This window comes from Homo sapiens, chromosome 19 (assembly GCF_000001405.40).
Source record: "Homo sapiens chromosome 19, GRCh38.p14 Primary Assembly".
NCBI lineage: Eukaryota > Metazoa > Chordata > Mammalia > Primates > Hominidae > Homo > Homo sapiens.
Genome location: NC_000019.10, coordinates 6,853,328 through 6,871,029, shown reverse-complemented (window position 1 = coordinate 6,871,029; position 17,702 = coordinate 6,853,328). Strand labels below are relative to the sequence as shown.

Sequence of the window (17,702 nt, the reverse complement as noted above, 5' to 3'; positions counted from 1 at the left end):
GAATTCCTTCTTCTTCGGGAAACCTATCTTTGCTCCTAAGGAATTCAATTGATTAGAAGTGGCCCACTTACTTTATAGAGAGTCATCTAATTTACTGAAAGTCAACTGACTATAAACATTAATCATAGCTTAAAAATACCTTCCCACAGTCTAGACAAGTTGACATATAAAATTAACCACTCTATGTATTTGAAATTCTAGAAAACACAAACCATATATGGTTAGGGGTAGAGAAAGCAAATCAGTGGTTACCTAGGGCCGGGGTGGAGGGAAGGATGAATTACAAGAGGGTCCCAGGGGACTTAGGGGAATGATGGAAATGATCTATGTATATTCTTTAAGATGGAGTCTTATTCTGTTGCCTAGGCTGGAGTGCAGTGGTGCAATCTCGGCTCACTGCAACCTCTGCCTCCTGGGTTCAAGCAATTCTCCTGCCTCAGCCTCCCAAGTAGCTGGGATTACAAGCGCGCACCACCATGCCCAGCTAATTTTTGTATTTTTAGTCGAGACGGGGTTTCACCATGTTGGCCAAGCTCGTCTCCAACTCCTGACCTCAAACGATCTGCCCACCTTGGCCTCCCAAAGTGCTGGGATTACAGGCATGAACCACCGTGCCCGGACTGATCCATATTTTTACTGTAGCATTGTTAACAGTGCTTGTCAAAACATCACATTGTACACTGCCAAAGCATGCCATTTGTTGTACACAAATTATTCCTCAATGAAGTTGATAAAATAGGCCCCAAAATAAAACAGCACCCACCATCCTGTCCAATTATTTTATGGTGCATTCTGCATGAGGGGACCACGTTATTCGTCAGTGCATGTTCTACAAAGCAACCAAATTATTTTATGCTGCCTGCTAAATGGAGGAATCAAATTGTTTTATTGTGTGTGCCATATAAAGGGACCTAATGACATTGGTTTTGTACATCTCCAATGAAATGTGATCTCTTAAATTTCTTTTAATATAGAGTTGATCTCATTGCACAATGTTGAAGACATGTGACCAGCCGCGTGCGGTGGCTCACGCCTGTAATCCCAGCACTTTCGGAGGCCGAGGCGGGTGAATCACCTGAGGTCAGGAGTTCAATGTAGGGTCCAGCCCTATGGGGCTTAGCGGGTGTTCTCCCCGTGTGCGGAGATGAGAGATTGTAATAAATAAAGACACAAGATAAAGAGATAAAGAGAAAGCAGCTGGGCCCGGGGGACCACTACCATCAAGATGCGGAGACTGGTAGTAGCCCGGAACAGCTGCGCACGCGGATATTTACCGCATACAAGACAAGGGGGCAGGGTAAGGAGGGTGAATCTTCTAAGTGATCGACAAGGTGAGGCAAGTCACGTGATTACAGGATGATGACAGGATAGGGGGCCCTTACCTTTTAGGTAGCAGAGAGAGAAGGCAGCATACGTCAGCGTTTTCTTCTCTGCACTAATAAGAAAGATCAAAGACTTTAAGACTTTCACTATTTCTGCTACCACTATCTACTGTGAACTTCAAAGAGGAACCAGGAGTACTGGAGGAGCATGAAAGTGGACAAGGAGAGTGACCACTGAAGCACAGCACCACAGGGAGGGGTTTAGGCCCCCGGATGACTGCGGGCAGGCCTGGATAATATCCAGCCTTCCACAAGAAGCTGGTGGAGCAGAGCGTTCCCTGACTCCTCCAAGGAAAGGAGACTCCCTTTCGCGGTCTGCCAAGTAACGGGTGCCTTCCCAGACACTGGCGTTACCGCTTGACCAAGGAGCCCTCAAGCAGCCCTTATGCGGGCATGTCAGAGGGCTCACCTCTTGCCTTCTAGGTCACTTCTCACAATGTCCCTTCAGCACCTGACCCTATATCCGCCGGTTATTCCTAGGTTATATTAGTAATGCAACAAAGAGTAATATTAAAAGCTAATGATTAATGTTTATAATAATGATTAATAACTGTTCATGATCATCTCTATATCTAACTTGTATTATGACTATTCTAACTATTTTCTTTATTATACTGAAACAGTTTGTGCCTTCAGTCTCTTGACTCGGCACATAGGTAATCCTCCGCCCACAGTTCGAGACCAGCCTGGCCAACATGGTGGAGCTCTGTCTCTGCTAAAAATACAAAAATTAGCCGAGTGTGGTGGTGCATACCTGTAATCCCAGCTACTCAGGAGGCTGAGGCAAGAGAATTGCTTGAACCCCAGAGGTGGAGGTTGCAGTGAGCTGAGATCATGCCACTGCACTCCAGCCTGGGCAACAGAGCAATACTCCATCTCAAAAAAGAAAAAAGAAAAAAAGAAAAAGACATATGACCTTATAAACCTTAGCAACAATCTAACCATATACTTCCTTAAAAACTAAAATAAAGCAACAAAAACTGTTGCAATTTTTGTTTCCTAACTGCAGGCTGCTGATAAGAAATACATCTTGGAAACCTTTCCCCAGTCCTGTTTAGAGCTCGGGGCACAGGCTGGTGAACTTACACAGTGGGCAGCTGTGTGTTTATCCACTCCCTTTGCAAGGGACACCTAACGTCTGCAAGCGTTGCTGTGCACAGATTCTCCCTCTGCCAATTTCTGCAAGGGTTTCTGGCTGAGCTCCAAGCCAGTTCCCCGAATGGTTTTACTTATCCTTGCATCTCACAGGGGGCAGAAGAACCAGCTAGAGGAACTGATAGTCTAGACTGTCTTTGGACATTATGAGAAGATGACCCAGAAGAATATGTGAAAGTGCAAAATGACTGAAGAAAAAAATAATAAATCATCTTATTCATCCCCAAAGATAGGGCCCCTGAGACCAGGCAGACGGGGAGCTGAATTTGAAGGAAGTGGGTCTCAAAGAATCTAGAGAAAGAAAATGGATCTCCAGGCCTAAGCCTCTGAGAAGATAGAGGGTTCTGGGAAGTGGAGGAGCTACACAAAGATACAGCCTAAATAACGGGCAATAGACTGGGCACGGTGGCTCATGCCTGTAATCCCAGCACTTTGGGAGGCTGAGGTGGGCGGATCACAGGTCAGGAGTTCAAGGCCAGCCTGGCCAATGTGGTGACAACACATCTCTACTAAAAATACAGAAATTAGCCAGGCATGGTGGTGGATGCCTGTAATCCCAGCTACTCAGGAGGCTAAGGCAGAAGAATTGCTTGAACCCAGGAGGTGGAGGTTGCAGTGAGCCAAGATCACACCACTGCACTCCAACCTGGGTGACAGAGCGATACTCTGTCAAAAAAAATAAAAAAATAAGGGACAATATATTCTGTTAGCCCACAGAATGGGCTTTTCTGGCGATAGACCTAGTTTCACTGTATTGGTCTGTTAGGAATGCCATAACTAAGTACTACAGACTGGGTGAGGGTTGGGGTTTATTATTATTATTATTTTTGCTTTTGTTTTGGGATGAGGGTCTTGCTCTGTTGCCCAGGCTGGAGTGCAATGGTACAATCATAGCTCACTGCAGCCTCAGCCTCCTGTGCTGAAGCCATCCTCTCACCTCACCATGTTGGTCAGGCTGGTCTCGAAATCCCAACCTCAGGTGATCCACCTGCCTTGGCCTCCCAAAGTGTTAGGATTACAGGCGTGAGCCACCGCGCCTGGCCTCCATCTTGCTTCTAACCTCCAAGCTGTCCTTGTTCATTCTTGGGCATAGGCGGAAGTAACCTTGGGAGGAACTTTATAGTTTAAAACAAAGACGATAACAGCCCTTTCCCAAAACAAACCTCCTTCTTGTTTGGGCACTAGACTGCCTTTGTAGGACTAACAAATTAGCCCCAAGATTAGAAATGATGGTTTAGGAGGCATGCAGCTAGAGGCTAAAAGATTCTGACCCTCCCTAAATTGCTCCTAAGATCAGGGCTTGAGATATTTTGCAAACCCTGCACTTGATGGATCAGCTGGCACCACCCAGATTGATAAACTGGCTCATGAGATCTTGTGGTCCCCCACCAGGAACTGACTCAGTGCAAGAAGACAGCTTTGACTCCCTGTGATTTCATCCATGACCGATCAGCACTCCTGGCTCGCTGGCTTCTCCCAACCCACCAAGTTGTCCTTAAAAGCTCTGCTCCCAGAAAGCTCAAGGAGACTGATTTGATTAATAAAACTCCAGTCTCCCACACAGCCGGCTCTGTGTGAATTACTCTTTCTCTACTGCAATTCCTGTCTTGAGAAATTGACTCTGTCTAGGCGGAGAGCAAGGTGAACCCACTGGGTAGTTACAAGGACACAGGGCAAACAGCTGCCCTGGGTGTGGTGTCTGGTGCCTGTAATCCAAGCTACTCAGGAGGCTGACGGAGGAGGATCGCTTGAGCCTGGTGAGGTTGAGCCTGAAGTGAACTGTGATCGTGCCACTACACTCTAGCCCAGGCAACAGAGCAAGATCCTATCTCAAAAAAAGAAAATGGTAAAAGAGGTACATTTTGCTGGGCATGGTGGCTCACGCCTGTAATCCCAGCACTTTGGGAGGCTGAGGCAGGTGGATCATGAGGTCAGGAGTTCGAGACCAGCCTGACCAACATGGTGAAACCCGTCTCTACTAAAAGTACAAAAAATTAGCCAGGCATAGTGGCACGTGCCTGTAATCTCAGCTACTCAGGAGGCTGAGGCAGGAGAATTGCTTGAACCCGGGAGGCAGAGGTTGCAGTGAGCTGAGATCCCGCCACTGCACTCCAGCCTGGGTGACAGAGTGAGATTCCATCTCAAAAAAAAAAAAAGTACATTTTATGTATGTTTGTGTTTCGTGTCATGAAATGTTTTGTTATGAATTGGAGAGTCAGAGAGAGAGTGTCGGTTTACTGGAGCAGAAAACACCTCAGGAACCAGTACCGGGGTAGAAAAACCTGAACGGTAATTGACGAATCGCTCAAGACTCAGTGTGCAGAAGTCTTAGGGCAGCCCCCGCAGTTTCATAAGTTTTACAAACTTGTCAGAGGAGTTTGAACCAGTGTGACTCCATCTTGAACAGGAGCTGGGTAACATGAGGCTGCGACCTGCTGGGCATTCCCGGGAGATCAGGCATTCTTAGTCACAGGATGAGATAGGAGGTCGACACAAGATACAGGTCATAAAGACCCTACTGATTAAACAGGCTGCGGTAGAGAAGCCAGCCCAAATCCCACCAAAACCAAGATGGCGACAAAACTGACCTGTGGTTGTCCTCATTGTTCATTCTTATTATACACTAATTATCATGTATTAGCTGCTAAAAGAAACTCCCGCAAGCGCCATGACAGTTTACAGATGCCATGGCAATGTCCGGAAGCTATCCTAGAGAGTCTAGAAAGGCGAGGAACCCTTAGTTCTGGAAAATCCTCAACCCCTTCCCAGAACACTCCTGAATAATCCACACCCCGTGTTGTAACCGAGTGAGTTGCAGAGAAATGCCACACTCTGAGATGAATTCAGGCGACCGAGAGAAGGCTAGTGCTCAAAATTCTCTCGGCCCTGAGGAAGGGGCTAGATTTCTTTCTTTCTTTCTTTCTTTCTTTCTTTCTTTCTTTTTTTGAGGCAGAGTCTCGCTCTGTCGCCCAGGCTGGGGTGCAGTGGGACGATCTCGGCTCACTGCAAGCTCCGTCTCCTGGGTTCACGCCATTCTCCTGCCTCAGCCTCCCGAGTAGCTGGGACTACAGGCGCCCGCCACCACGCCTGGCTAATTTTTTTGTACTATTTTAGTAGAGACGGGGTTTCTCCGTGTTAGCCAGGATGGTCTCGATCTCCTGACCTCGTAATCCACCCGCCTCAGCCTCCCAAAGTGCTGGGATTACAGGCATGAGCCACTGTGCCCGGCAGGAACCATTTTTAAATATGCCAAAGCATTCTGTTCTTTTTTTACTTTTCTTTTTTTTTTTTTTTTTTTGAGACAGTCTCACTGTAATGCCCAGGCTGGAGTGCAGTGGTGCGATCTCGGCTCACTGCAAGCTCCGCCTCCCGGGTTCACGCCATTCTCCTGCCTCAGCTGCCCGAATAGTTGGGACTATAGGCGCCTGCCACCATGTCCGGCTAATTTTTTATATTTTTAGTAGAGACGGGGTTTCACCGTGTTAGCCAGGATGGTCTCGATCTCCTGCCCTTGTGATCCGCCTGCCTCGGCCTCCCGGAGTGCTGGGATTACAGGCATTAGCCACCATGCCCGGCCTCAAAAACTTTTTTATTTTTAAAGTTTTAAATAAAAACTTGCTAGCATGTTACTCCACTTTATTTTTCTCCATGGAGCTAATCTCTAAGTAAACTCCAGCTGAGGCCACATCCTCGCCCAGCTCCTTCCTCTGCCCCTTCCTGCTGCCTGTGGCCAGCATGGCCAAGGCAGGAAGGGAGATGCAGATTACATAGGACCTTATGGTTATCCCCGTGCCTGAGCTCTCTGATGTTAGTTGTGCTTTTGCTGGGTGGACTGGAGGCAAGGAAAGTGAGGATACTTATGATGACTTGAAATCAGCTGTGGGCCAGGTGCGGTGGCCCACACCTGTAATCCCAGCACTGTAAGAGGCCGAGGCGGGCAAATCATCTGAGGTCGGGAGTTCAAGACCAGCCTGGCAAACAGCCAAACCCCATCTCTACTAAAAATACAAAAGTTAGCTGGGCTTGGTGGTGGGCACTTGTAATCGAGCTACTCAGGCAGCGGAGGCAGGGAGAACTGCTTGGAACCCAGGAGGTGGAGGTTGCAGTGAGCTGAGATTGTGCCACTGCATTCCAGCCTGGGCAACAGAGCAAGACTCTATCTCAAAAACAAAAAAACAAAAAACAAAAAAAAAAGAAGAAAAAAGAAATCAGATGCGGTGGGACTATTTACACCATAGGAATGGGCACATTCTATGCGAATATCCACTGTTTGAATCATCCCCACTCCGGCCAGGCATGGTTCACACCTGTAATCCCAGCACTTTGGAAAGCCAAGGCAGGTGGATAACCTGAGGTCAGGAGTTCGAGACCAGCCTGGCCAACATGGTGAAACCCCGTCTCTACTCAAAAGAAAATACAAAAATTAGCTGGGCGTGGTGTCGGGCTCTTGTAGTCCCAGCTACTCGGGAGGCTGAGGGAGGAGAATCACTTGAACCTGGGAGGTGGAGGTTGCAGTGAGCCAAGATCACACCATTGCCCTCCAGCCTGGGCGACAGAGTGAGACTCTTTCTCAAAAATAAATAAATAAATCACCCCCACACCACGGCTCCCCAAATCCTGCAGCTTAGAGCTCAAACATCCAAACCTGACTTCTGAGGCCCCCTAACAGCCTTCTCTTTGGAAACAGTCTAATCAGAGAGTTTGAGACACTGAAGCCAAATCACCGAAGGCCACCAGAGGGCACTACATAGCTTCAAATTGGTGCTGTGGGGTTACAATGGGCAAGATACGCGGAACTTGGTTCCGCGGCTCAAATGCCAGGACAATGCGGAAGTGTTGGCTGCCTAAGAACAAGTCCCGCCTTGCGTGAATGGTACCCATGAAATATGACAGCTCCCTATGTGACAATCTGCCTCGCGCCTCACTTCATTGCCTGGAATTCCACCATTAGGGAGTCATTCCTTTGGATAAAAAATGTTCCTCTGGAAAAAAAAAAAAAAAGTTCCTCTGGGCCGGGCGCGGTGGCTCACGCCTGTAATCCCAGCACTTTGGGAAGCCGACGCGGGCGAATCACCTGAGGTTAGGAGTTCGAGACCAGCCTGGCCAACATGGTGAAACCCCATCTCTACTAAAAATACAAAAATTAGCTGGGCGCTGTAATCTCAGCTACTCGGGAGGCTGAGGCAGGAAAATCGCTTGAACCTGGGAGGCGGAGGTTGCAGTGAGCCAAGATCGCGCCACTGTGCTCCAGCCTGGGAGACAAGAGCGAGACTCGGTCCCACCCCCACCCGCCCCCCCCACAAAAAATGTTTCTCTTCCAGAAAATATTAAATAGTTCAAGTTGAGACCCCTAGAAAGCACTAGAAATTAAAGACGTGGGAAGAATCCTCAGACCACAGAAAACAGCTGTAGGTGGAGACCCTTCCACCTACTTTGTATTTCTCTGCCTTCTCAACAATATGAACGTGTTTGGCTGCGGACGTTGGCTCACGCCTGCAATGCCAGCGCTCTGGGAGATTGCGCTATCGAGGTGGCGCACTACTGCTGCTGTCCATCAGGGGGCAAGCGCGGCTTTAATTTGTGGCTGTCTGCGGTGGGACTGCCTGGCGATGTGTCTGTGTGATGTTTAGGAATGTCCCTGTTTGATCTAGTGGGTGTCTGTCTGACGGCGTTTGAAGTCTATATCCGCTGATTTCATTTGTCTTTATCAGTGTTTGTAAATTCTTAGGGCTGGGGGTAGGAGTGAGTGAGTGTGTGTGTGTGTGTGTGTGTGTGTCTGTCTGTCTGTATTGGGGGCTGTCCGTTGTACATTCACCATGTTGGCCAGGCTGGTTTCGAACTCCTGAGCTCAAGTGATCCACCTGCCTCGGCCTCCCAAAGTGCTAGGATTATAGGCATGAGCCACCACGCCCGGTCTCCCAACAACTTTTCACCCACCCCACCCCCACTTTCCTCCCTCTCCAAGCAAAATGAGCCCCTTGAAGTTTCCAGAACCTACCAGGATCACTATCATTTGCCCCTCTCCCTAAAAAACTTTCCCTTCATTATTTATTATTATTATTATTGAGTCTCACTCTGTCGTCCAGGCTGGGGTGCAGTGGTGCAATCTCAGCTCACTGCAATCTCTGCCTCCCAGGTTCAAGTGATTCTCCTACCTCAGCCTCCCGAGTAGCTGGGATTACAGGCACCTGCCACCACACCGGCTAATTTTTGTATTTTTAGTAGAGATGGGGGTTTCACCATGTTGCCCAGTCTGGTCTCGAACTCCTGACCTCAAGTGATCCGCCGCCTCGGCCTCCCCAAGTGCCGGGATTACAGACATGGACCACCGTGCTAGGCTGTCCCCTCATTTATTTTCTAGGTGACTCCATCCAGCTGATTATACAGTTGCCACCTTAGATGTTTCCTCCTCCAGGAAGCCCTCCCTGACCATCCTCCCCTACTCAAGCCTGGGTTAGATCTGTATTTGCTCCCACAGCCACCTGTGTTCCTTATGAAATTCATCAACTCTGTGTTATAATTGCCTGGTTGATTGTTAAGTCCCCTACTGGATTATACGTGCTTTTCAGGCAGGTCTGCGCCTGAGTCATTCACACAGCCTGGGGCTGAAGGTGAGGGCCACCCAGGAACTCCAAGAACAAGTCCATGACCTCAACCTCACCAACACCCTGAACTAGACAGCCCAGGTAGCCACCTTAGGCCATAGGTAGGTTCATGGTGTGACTCTGGGGGAGTCACGGGAGGGGCAGAAACCCCCCGTCCTAGTTCCTGATCCCTTGTGACTGCATTGCTTCCTCCAACACCCATTTCTAGATTCATGGTTCCTCAAACATGAAAAACACTTCACTCCAGGCTTCAGAGGCTATATCCTGCACCTGGCCAGGTGTGTGCAGGTACCATCTAGGCGTTGGCTTACCTGGGGTTGCAGAGAGAGCTAGGATATACCAAGATCCCCACCCGGCACTAGAGTGACGGTTAAGAGCGTGGTTCTGTGCTTAGGTGCATACCGACTCTCTGCCTGTGGCGAGCTGATTTTATCTTTCTCTGGTTCAGAGAGGCGAAGTCTTTCCCAAAACTTTATAGCTAATTTCACAGGGGCACAGAGGACCTTAGAATCTCTTGGAGCCCTGACCACTATGCTCTATTTCATATAAAAATAAAAACTGGCCAGGCCCAGTGGCTCACGTCTGTAATCCCAGCACTTTGGGAGGCCGAGGCGGGCGGATCACAAGGCGAGGAGATCAAGACCATCCTGACTAACACGATGAAACCCCATCTCTACTAAAAATGCAAAAAATTAGCCGGGCGTGGTGGCGGGCACCTGTAGTCCCAGCTACTCGAGAGGCTGAGGCAGGAGAATGGCGTGAACCCGGGAGGCGGAGCTTGCAGTGAGCCGAGATCGCGCCACTGCCCTCCAGCCTGGGCGACAGAGCAAGGCTCCGTCTCAAAAACAAAAAAAACAACAACAACAAAAAGAAACCCGGCCGGTTGCAGTTGGCTCACGCCTGTAATCCCAGCACTCTGGGAGGCTGAGGTGGGCAGATCACGAGGTCAGAAGATCGAGACCATCCTGGCCAACATGGCGAAACCCCTGTGTCTCTACTAAAAATACAACTGTTAGCTGGGTGTGGCGGCGTGTGTCTGTAATCCCAGCTACTCGGGAGGCTGAGGCAGGAGAATCGCTTGAACTTGGGAGGTGGAGGTTGCAGTGAGCCAAGATTGCACCACTGCACTGCAGCCTGGCGACAGAGCTAGACTCCATCTCAAAAATAAATTAATAAATAATAAAATAAGATAAAATACCACGAAGCTGGCTGTGAGATTAATCTAGATACTGTGTAGGAAGTGCTTACTTTCATGGCGCCAGACAACACTGAATACTTGACACGGGAGGTGCCTCTGTTAGTAGTATGGTAGGGTAATATATTTGGAAGTATGAACTACTTTTTCCCAAATTAATTTATAGCCCATGATCCTTCCCCAGCCCTGTCAGCTTAGGCCAGCCCATCTTTTTGCCTCCTAAGGGTTATGCTAGCAGCCTGCAGATTTACCCAAAAAGCAACTCCCTGGCTTTTGTTGGTCAGTTGGTTACTTGGTTGTTTCTTTGCTTTGTTTTGTTTTTTGTTCTTTGTTTTTGTTTTTGTTTGAGATGGAGTTTTGCTCTGTCACCCAGGCTGGAGTGCAGCGGTGCAGTCTCATCTCACTGCAACGTCCCCCTCCCAGGTTCAAGTGATTCTCTTATCTCAGCCTCCCAAGTAGCTGGGATTACAGGTACCTGCCACCACGCCCGGCTAATTTTTGTATTTTTAGTAGAGATGAGATTTCACCATGTTGGCCAGGCTGGTCTCAAACTCCTGACCTCAAGTGATCTGCCCGCCTCGGCCTCCCAAAGTGCTGGGATTATAGGCGTGAGCCACTGTGACTGGCCTGGTTGGTTTTTAGAGATGAGGTCTCACTCTGTTGCCTAGGCTGGAGTGCAGTGGTGCAATCATAGTTCACCACAGCCTCCACCTCCTGGGCTCAAGCAATCCTCCCACCTCAGCCTCCTGAGTAGCTGGGACTACAGTTGTGTGCCACCATGCAGAGCTAATTTTTTTATTTTTTTTATTTTTTTATTTATTTTTTTTTTTTGTAGAGAGGAAGATCTTACTATTTTGTGCAGGCTGGTCTCGAGCTCCTGGCCTGAAGCAATCCTCTGCCCTCAGCCTCCCTGGCTTTTGAACTTCAAAATCTTCCTTGGAGATCCTGAATCTTAGTTTATGAGCATTAAAAGTCTAAGGGCTGGGCGCAGTGGCTCACGCCTATAATCCCAGCACTTTGGGAGGCCGAGGCTGGTCGATCACAAGGTCAGAAGATCGAGACCATCTTGGCCAACATGGGGAAACCCCGTTTCTACTAAAACTACAAAAATGAGCCGGGTGTGGTGGCGGGTGCCTGTAATCCCAGCTACTTGGGAGGCTGAGGTAGGAGAATCACTTGAACCCAGGAGGCGGAGGTTTCAGTGAGCCGAGATTGCGCCACTGTACTCCAGCCTGGGTGACAGAGCAAGACACCATCTCAAAAAAAAAAAAAAAAAAAATGCCAGGCGTGGTGGCTCATACCTGTAATCCCAGCACTTTGGGAGGCCGAGGCGGGTGCATCACGAGGTCAGGAGATCGAGACCATCCTGGCTAACAAGGCAAAACCCCGTCTCTACTAAAAATACAAAAAATTAGCCGGGTGTGGTGGCAGGCGCCTGTAGTCCCAGCTACTCGGGAGGCTGAAGCAGGAGAATGGCGTGAACCCAGGAGGCAGAGCTTGCAGTGAGCTGAGACCGCACCACTGCACTCCAGCCTGGGTGACAGAGCAAGACACCGTCTCAAAAAAAAAAGAAAAAAAAAAAGCTTAAGAAAATAAATTTCATGTAATGTATATTTTACTGCAATTTTAATAATTAATAAAGACTATTAAATAAAAAATGGCCAGGTGAGGTGGCTCACGCCTGTAATCCCAGCACTTTGGGAGGCCGAGGCGGGTGGATCACCTGAGGTCAGGAGTTCCAGACCAGCCTGGCCAACATGGTGAAACCCTGTCTCTTCTAAAAATACAAAAAATTAGCTGGGCATGGTGGCGCGTGCCTGTAGTCCCAGCTACTCGGGAGACTAAGGCAGGAAAATCACTTGAACCTGGGGGGCGGAGGTTGCAGTAAGCCAAGATTGCACCACTGCACTCTAGCCCAGGCAACAGAGCAAGACTCTGTCTCAAAAAGAAAAACAAATGAGGCCAGGTGCAGTGGCTCACACCTGTAATCCCAGCACTTTGGGAGGCCAAGGTGAGAGGACTGCTTGAGCCCATGAGATCAAGACCAGCCTGACCAACATAGCAACACCCCCTCCCTACAAAAAATAAAATATTAGCCGGGTGTGGTGGTGCTTGCTTTTAGTCCCAGCTACTTGGGAGGCTGACGTGGGAGGATCGCTTGACACCAGGAGGTGGAGGCTGCAGTGAGCTATGATCGTGCCACTGTGCCCCCGGCTGGGCAACAGAGTAAGACTCTGTCCCTGAAAAAATAAAATAAAATAATTTAAAAAGAAAGAAAAACGAATGAGCGGTACATTTTTGTGATCTTGAATCTTTGAGTATAAAATTCTTTCCTGAGTATAAAAATCTTTGAGTACTAAAAAAAAAAAAGAAAAGAAATTCTCACTTTTATTTATTTATTTCTTTATTTATTTTTATTTTTTGAGACAGAGTTCTTGCTCTGTCACCCAGGCTGGAGTACAGCGTCATGATCTCGGCTGACAGTAACCTCTGCCTCCTGGGTTCAAGCGATTCTCCTGCCTCAGCCTCCCAAGCAGCTGGGATTACTGGCACCTGCCACCACGCCCGGCTAGTTTTTGTATTTTTAGTAGAGACGGGGTTTCACCATGTTGGCCAGGCTGGTCTTGAACTCCTGACCTCGGGTGATCCACCCGCTTCAATCTCCTGAAGTGTTGGGATTACAAGCGTGAGCTACTGCACCCAGCAAATTCCTGCTTTATTTTATTTTATTTATTTATTTATTTTTGAGACGGAATCTCGCTCTGTTGCCCAGGCTGGAGTGCAGTGGTGCGATCTTGGCTCACTGCAACCTCCGCCTCCCAGGTTCAAGGGATTCTTCTGCCTCAGCCTCCTGAGTAGTTGGGATTATAGGCACTGGCTAGTTTTTGTATTTTTAGTAGAGACGGGGTTTTGCCATGTTGGCCAGGCTGGTCTTGAACTCCTGACCTCAGGTAATCTGCCCACCTCAGCCTCCCAAAGTGCTGGGATTACAGGCATGAGCCACCATGCCCAGCCCAAAAGAGGGAATTTCATATCCCAGATTCAAGTTGTATTGTATTAATAGATGACAGAGAACAGCAATCAAGTTAGGAGACAGAAATTGGTGAGAGGGCTTTGTCTGTGGATTGGTGAGGGGCTTTGTCTGTGATTGGTGAGGGGGCTTTGTCTGTGGATTGTTGAGGGGGCTTTGTCTGTGGATTGTTGAGGGGGCTTTGTCTGTGGTTGGTAAGGGGGCTTTGTCTGTGGATTGGTGAGGGGGCTTTGTCAGTGTGGCACACTCTCTCCCCATCTCTCTCCTAGCAGGTCCTTCTGAACGACACCAGTCCTTCTATCCATCTTCATCCTTTTATTAAATGTAACCCCCTTGAGCCCCGTCTGCTTGAGGGGACCCAAGAGGAAATCGGGGTGTTATAAATTAACCATGTCAGGGCACATCCCGGGAGCACCGCCAGCTGGACGCTGGCCTCCTCCAGTCCATCCCAAAGTCTCCACCCGCCGGGAGCTGTCACAGCCCCTGGCTCCGCTGCCTGCCCACGCCGGGCTCAGAGCCTGGAGTTTCTCGTCTCTCTGCCAAGGCACCAGGGCTCAGCAGTATTCAGAATAATCTTCCTCCACGTAGTTGGCAGGGAACCAGCCAACCTGGAAACAGACGAGGAGTTCATCAGTGCAACCTCTGCACATCCTCCTACTGCCCCTCCACACACCAGGCAGGCTCCCTCCCACCTCAGGGCCTTTGCACCTGCTCTTCCTTCTGTCTATCCCAGAAAACACATCACCCAACGTACACAAGGCTGACCACACACACACACACACACACCCATTACCTCCTAAAAGTCCCTCCCTAAATGGCACTTTATCAGCAAGACCTTCCTAGCCATACTATTCAAAATTGCAAGCTCCACCCACCCCAACACTCCTTAGCCCCTTTTCTTTTTCTTTTCTTTTCTTTTTTTTTTTTTTTTCTTTTTTGAGACAGAGTCTCACTCTGCCCCCTAGGCTGGAGTGCAATGGCGCAATCTCAGCTTATTGCAACCTCCACCTCCCGGGTTCAAGTGATTCTCCTGCCTCAGCATCCCGAGTAGCTGGGATTACAGGCGCCTGCCACCACACCCGGCTAATTTTTTTGTATTTTTAGTAGAGACGGGGTTTCACCATGTTGGCCGGGCTGGTTTCAAACTCCTGACCTCCGGTGATCTGCCCATCTCGGCCTCCCAGAGTGCTGGGATTACAGGCATGAGCCACCGTGCCTGGACCCCTTGTCTTGCTTTATCTTTTTCTATAGCACATATCACCGTCTGATTCATTATGTATCATTTGCTTATTTACAAGCTTTTTGTCTGTTCCCCTCCCTGCAACTGCAATGTGAGCTCTACAAGGCAGAATTTTTTTTTTTTTTGAGACACAGTCTTACTCTGTTGCCCAGGCTGGAGTGCAGTGGCGCGATCTCAGCTCACCACAGCCTCCGCCTCCTGGGTTCAAGCGATTCTCCTGCCTCAGCTTAACGAGTACCTGGGATTAGAGGCGCACGCCACAATGCCCAGCTAATTTTTTTGTATCTTTAGTTAAGACAGGGTTTCGCCATGTTGGCCAGGCGGGTCTCAAACTCCTCTCCTCAACTGATCCACCCACCTTGGCATCCCAAAGTGCTGGGATTACAGGCATAAGCCACCACGCCTGGCCAGCAGGGATTTTTGTCTGTATTATTTGTCACTGAATCCCAAGAGCCTAGAACAGTTCCTGGCACACAGTAGATACTTACTGAATATTTTTTGGCTGGATGGATAGATGAATGGATGGATTATTGGATTGATGGGTAGGTGGATAGATAGGTAGATAGATAATGAATGGATAGATAGATAGATAGATAGATAGATAGATAGATAGATAGATGAATGGGTGGATGGATACTTGGGTTGGTGAATGGTGATTGGAAGGGTGAGTGGATGGTGGTCGGATGGATGGATGGATGAATTAATGGACTGGTGAGTAGGTGTATGGATGGATAAATATAGAGATAGATTAACAGATGGGTGCATGCATGGATAGATGGATGGATGCACAGATAGAAATGGATGAATAGATGTTGGCTGGATGGTGGATTAATGGATAGATTAATGTTTTAATGGGTGGGTAGGTGGATAGATGGTTAGATAGATGCGTGAGTGGAAGGGTGGGTGGATGAATGGATAGATGCGTAGGTTGAAATGGATGGATGCATAGGCTAAGATGGATGGATGCACAGATGAATGGATGATTTGTGGATAGATAGATGGATAGATGGATGGATGGATAGATGGATGGATGGATGGATGGATGAATCCTTTACATCCCAATCCTTCCTCAATGCTCCAAAAGCCTCTCTCAAAGCCTAATTGTCCTCCACTGCTCATTAAACTGACCCTCCAATGTTTTAACAAAACTCCTCATCGATGCAATTATCCACATCATTTTTTGTGTATATTTTCCCCAGTAGAATGTAAACTCTAACCACTGTCCTTGTCTTCATTACACAAACATATTTCTGAGAAATCCATCATAAGGCAGAATTCTAGAGGCTGAGAAGTCATCAGTGGATGAAATAAAGAAGGTGCTCTGCCTTCATGGAACAAAAATGAGAACTTGGCAGAAACAAGTGGACTTGAAGACATTTGAAGTCTATTCCACTCCTTGGAATCGGAATTCAAGCAGGCAAAGTGAGCACAGTGGTTTAGTCCCAGCTCTACCTCTTTGTATATTCAGTACTGATTAGGCACCTCTCACCCCAGGGCCTTTGCACACACTGGTCCTTCTGTCTGGAATGCTTTCCCCCAACACATATACAACCTTTTCATTTGCATGACTTTATTTATCCCTTATTAATCAGTTTGGCCTTTCAGAAGTCATCCTGATCCACTCCTAGGGTGGGTCAGGGGCTCCCTCAGTGCTCCCACGCTGCCCTGTGATTCTCCACCACAATCTCTTTTATTCTTTCTTCTTTTTTTTAAAGACAGGGTCTTGTTCTGTCACCCAGGCTGCAGTGGCACAATCATAGCTCACTGCAGCATCCAACTCCTGGACTCAAGCAATCCTCCCACCTCAGCTTCCTGAGTACCTGGGACACACTACCACGCCCAACTAATGTTTTTGTTTTTATTTTTATTTATGTAGAGGTGGGATCTCACTATTTTAGCCAGGCTTGCCTTGAATTTGTGGCCTCAAGAGATCCTCCCACCTCAGCCTCCCAAAGCACTGGGATTACAGGCATGAGCCACCGTGACTGGCACCCTTGTTAGTCTTGACCACTCAGTGTCATGACTGCTTGGTTATAGGTCTGTCCTCCACATTCGATTATAAGTTTCATGAGGGCAATCCTTGTACCGTGCTTGTTTCTGTCTCCTCGACACCCAGCACAATGTCTGCACACAGCAGGTGCTGAATACATGCAGGTAGGTTGCATAAATGCATAAATGACATCCCTGTGTCCCTTCCTTCCCTCCCACCGTGAGAGATCTCCATGGGAGCCGCACCTCACCTTCTCCAGTCCCCAGTTCCAGTCTCGTCCACCACCAGCTCAACCCCCATGCCCTCCCCGTCACCCAGCCCTGCCTGCCTCACCCGGCCATAGATCTCCCCTCGCCACCAGCCTTGCTGTCCCTTCTTGTTAAGGATCTTGATGATGTCACCCTCCTTGAGCGACAGCTCTGATCGGTCTCGGGCGCAGAAGTCATAGCGGGCTTTGGCTGTGCCAAAATACTTTGTGCTTCCCACTGTGGAGAGAGAACAGAAGTGAGAAAAGGGTCTGGGGCAGATACCCACTCACTCTCTGGGGGCACAAGCTCTCAGGACAGTAACTCCAGGATAAAGGGCTCCTCAGTGCTCTTTTCTGCAGAGTATTAGATGCCCTGTACTGTAAGGGGACACAATTGTACTCCCAGCATCATCCTCCCGTCTGAATTTAGAAAATAACACTTTTTTTTTTTTTTGAGATAAAGTCTCTCTCTGTCACCCAGACTGGAGTGCGGTGGCACAATCTCAGCTCACTGCAACCTATGCCTCCTGGGTTCAAGTGATTCTCCTGCCTCAGCCTCCTGAATCACGGGGATTACAGGCCTGTGCCACCATGCCCGGCTGATTTTTATGTTTTTTTTTTTTAGTAGAGATGGAGTTTCACCATGTTGGCCAGGCTGGTCTTGAACTCCTAACCTCAAGTGATCCACCCACCTTGGCCTCCCGAAGTGCTGGAGTTACAGGCATGAGCCACCGCACCCAGCCAGAAAATAAGACTGGTTTGGAATTTTTATTTTTATTTTTTTATTTTGAGGCTGAGGCATGAGAATCCCTCGAACCCAAGAGGTGGGAGGCAAAGGTTGCAGGGAGCTAAGATCG

General features: G+C 48.5%; 1 protein-coding gene across 4 annotated transcripts in view, besides 2 other annotated features; it reads right to left on the bottom strand.

The window, feature by feature from the left end:
• Positions 2,665–2,865: a silencer, noted in NCBI's record as "peak3310 fragment used in MPRA reporter construct". NCBI's record gives its function as "represses an SCP1 promoter by STARR-seq MPRAs in K562 erythroleukemia cells {active_cell/tissue: K562}" and the evidence as "EXISTENCE:reporter gene assay evidence [ECO:0000049][PMID:32103011]".
• Positions 7,887–8,026: an enhancer, noted in NCBI's record as "active region_13867". NCBI's record gives its function as "activates an Ori minimal core promoter by ATAC-STARR-seq in GM12878 lymphoblastoid cells {active_cell/tissue: GM12878}" and the evidence as "EXISTENCE:reporter gene assay evidence [ECO:0000049][PMID:35858748]".
• The window catches only part of VAV1 (vav guanine nucleotide exchange factor 1), an 84,654-nt gene continuing 80,620 nt past the window's right edge, over positions 13,669–17,702 (bottom strand). For all 4 annotated transcript variants that reach the window (NM_005428.4, XM_005259642.2, NM_001258206.2 and 1 more), the window contains 2 exons: positions 16,932–17,083; positions 13,669–13,976 (listed from right to left, as the gene is read on the bottom strand). In NM_005428.4, coding sequence (NP_005419.2) covers positions 13,923–13,976; positions 16,932–17,083 — 206 coding nt within the window. In that variant the 3' untranslated portion in view covers positions 13,669–13,922. The remainder of the gene's footprint in view (positions 13,977–16,931; positions 17,084–17,702) is intronic.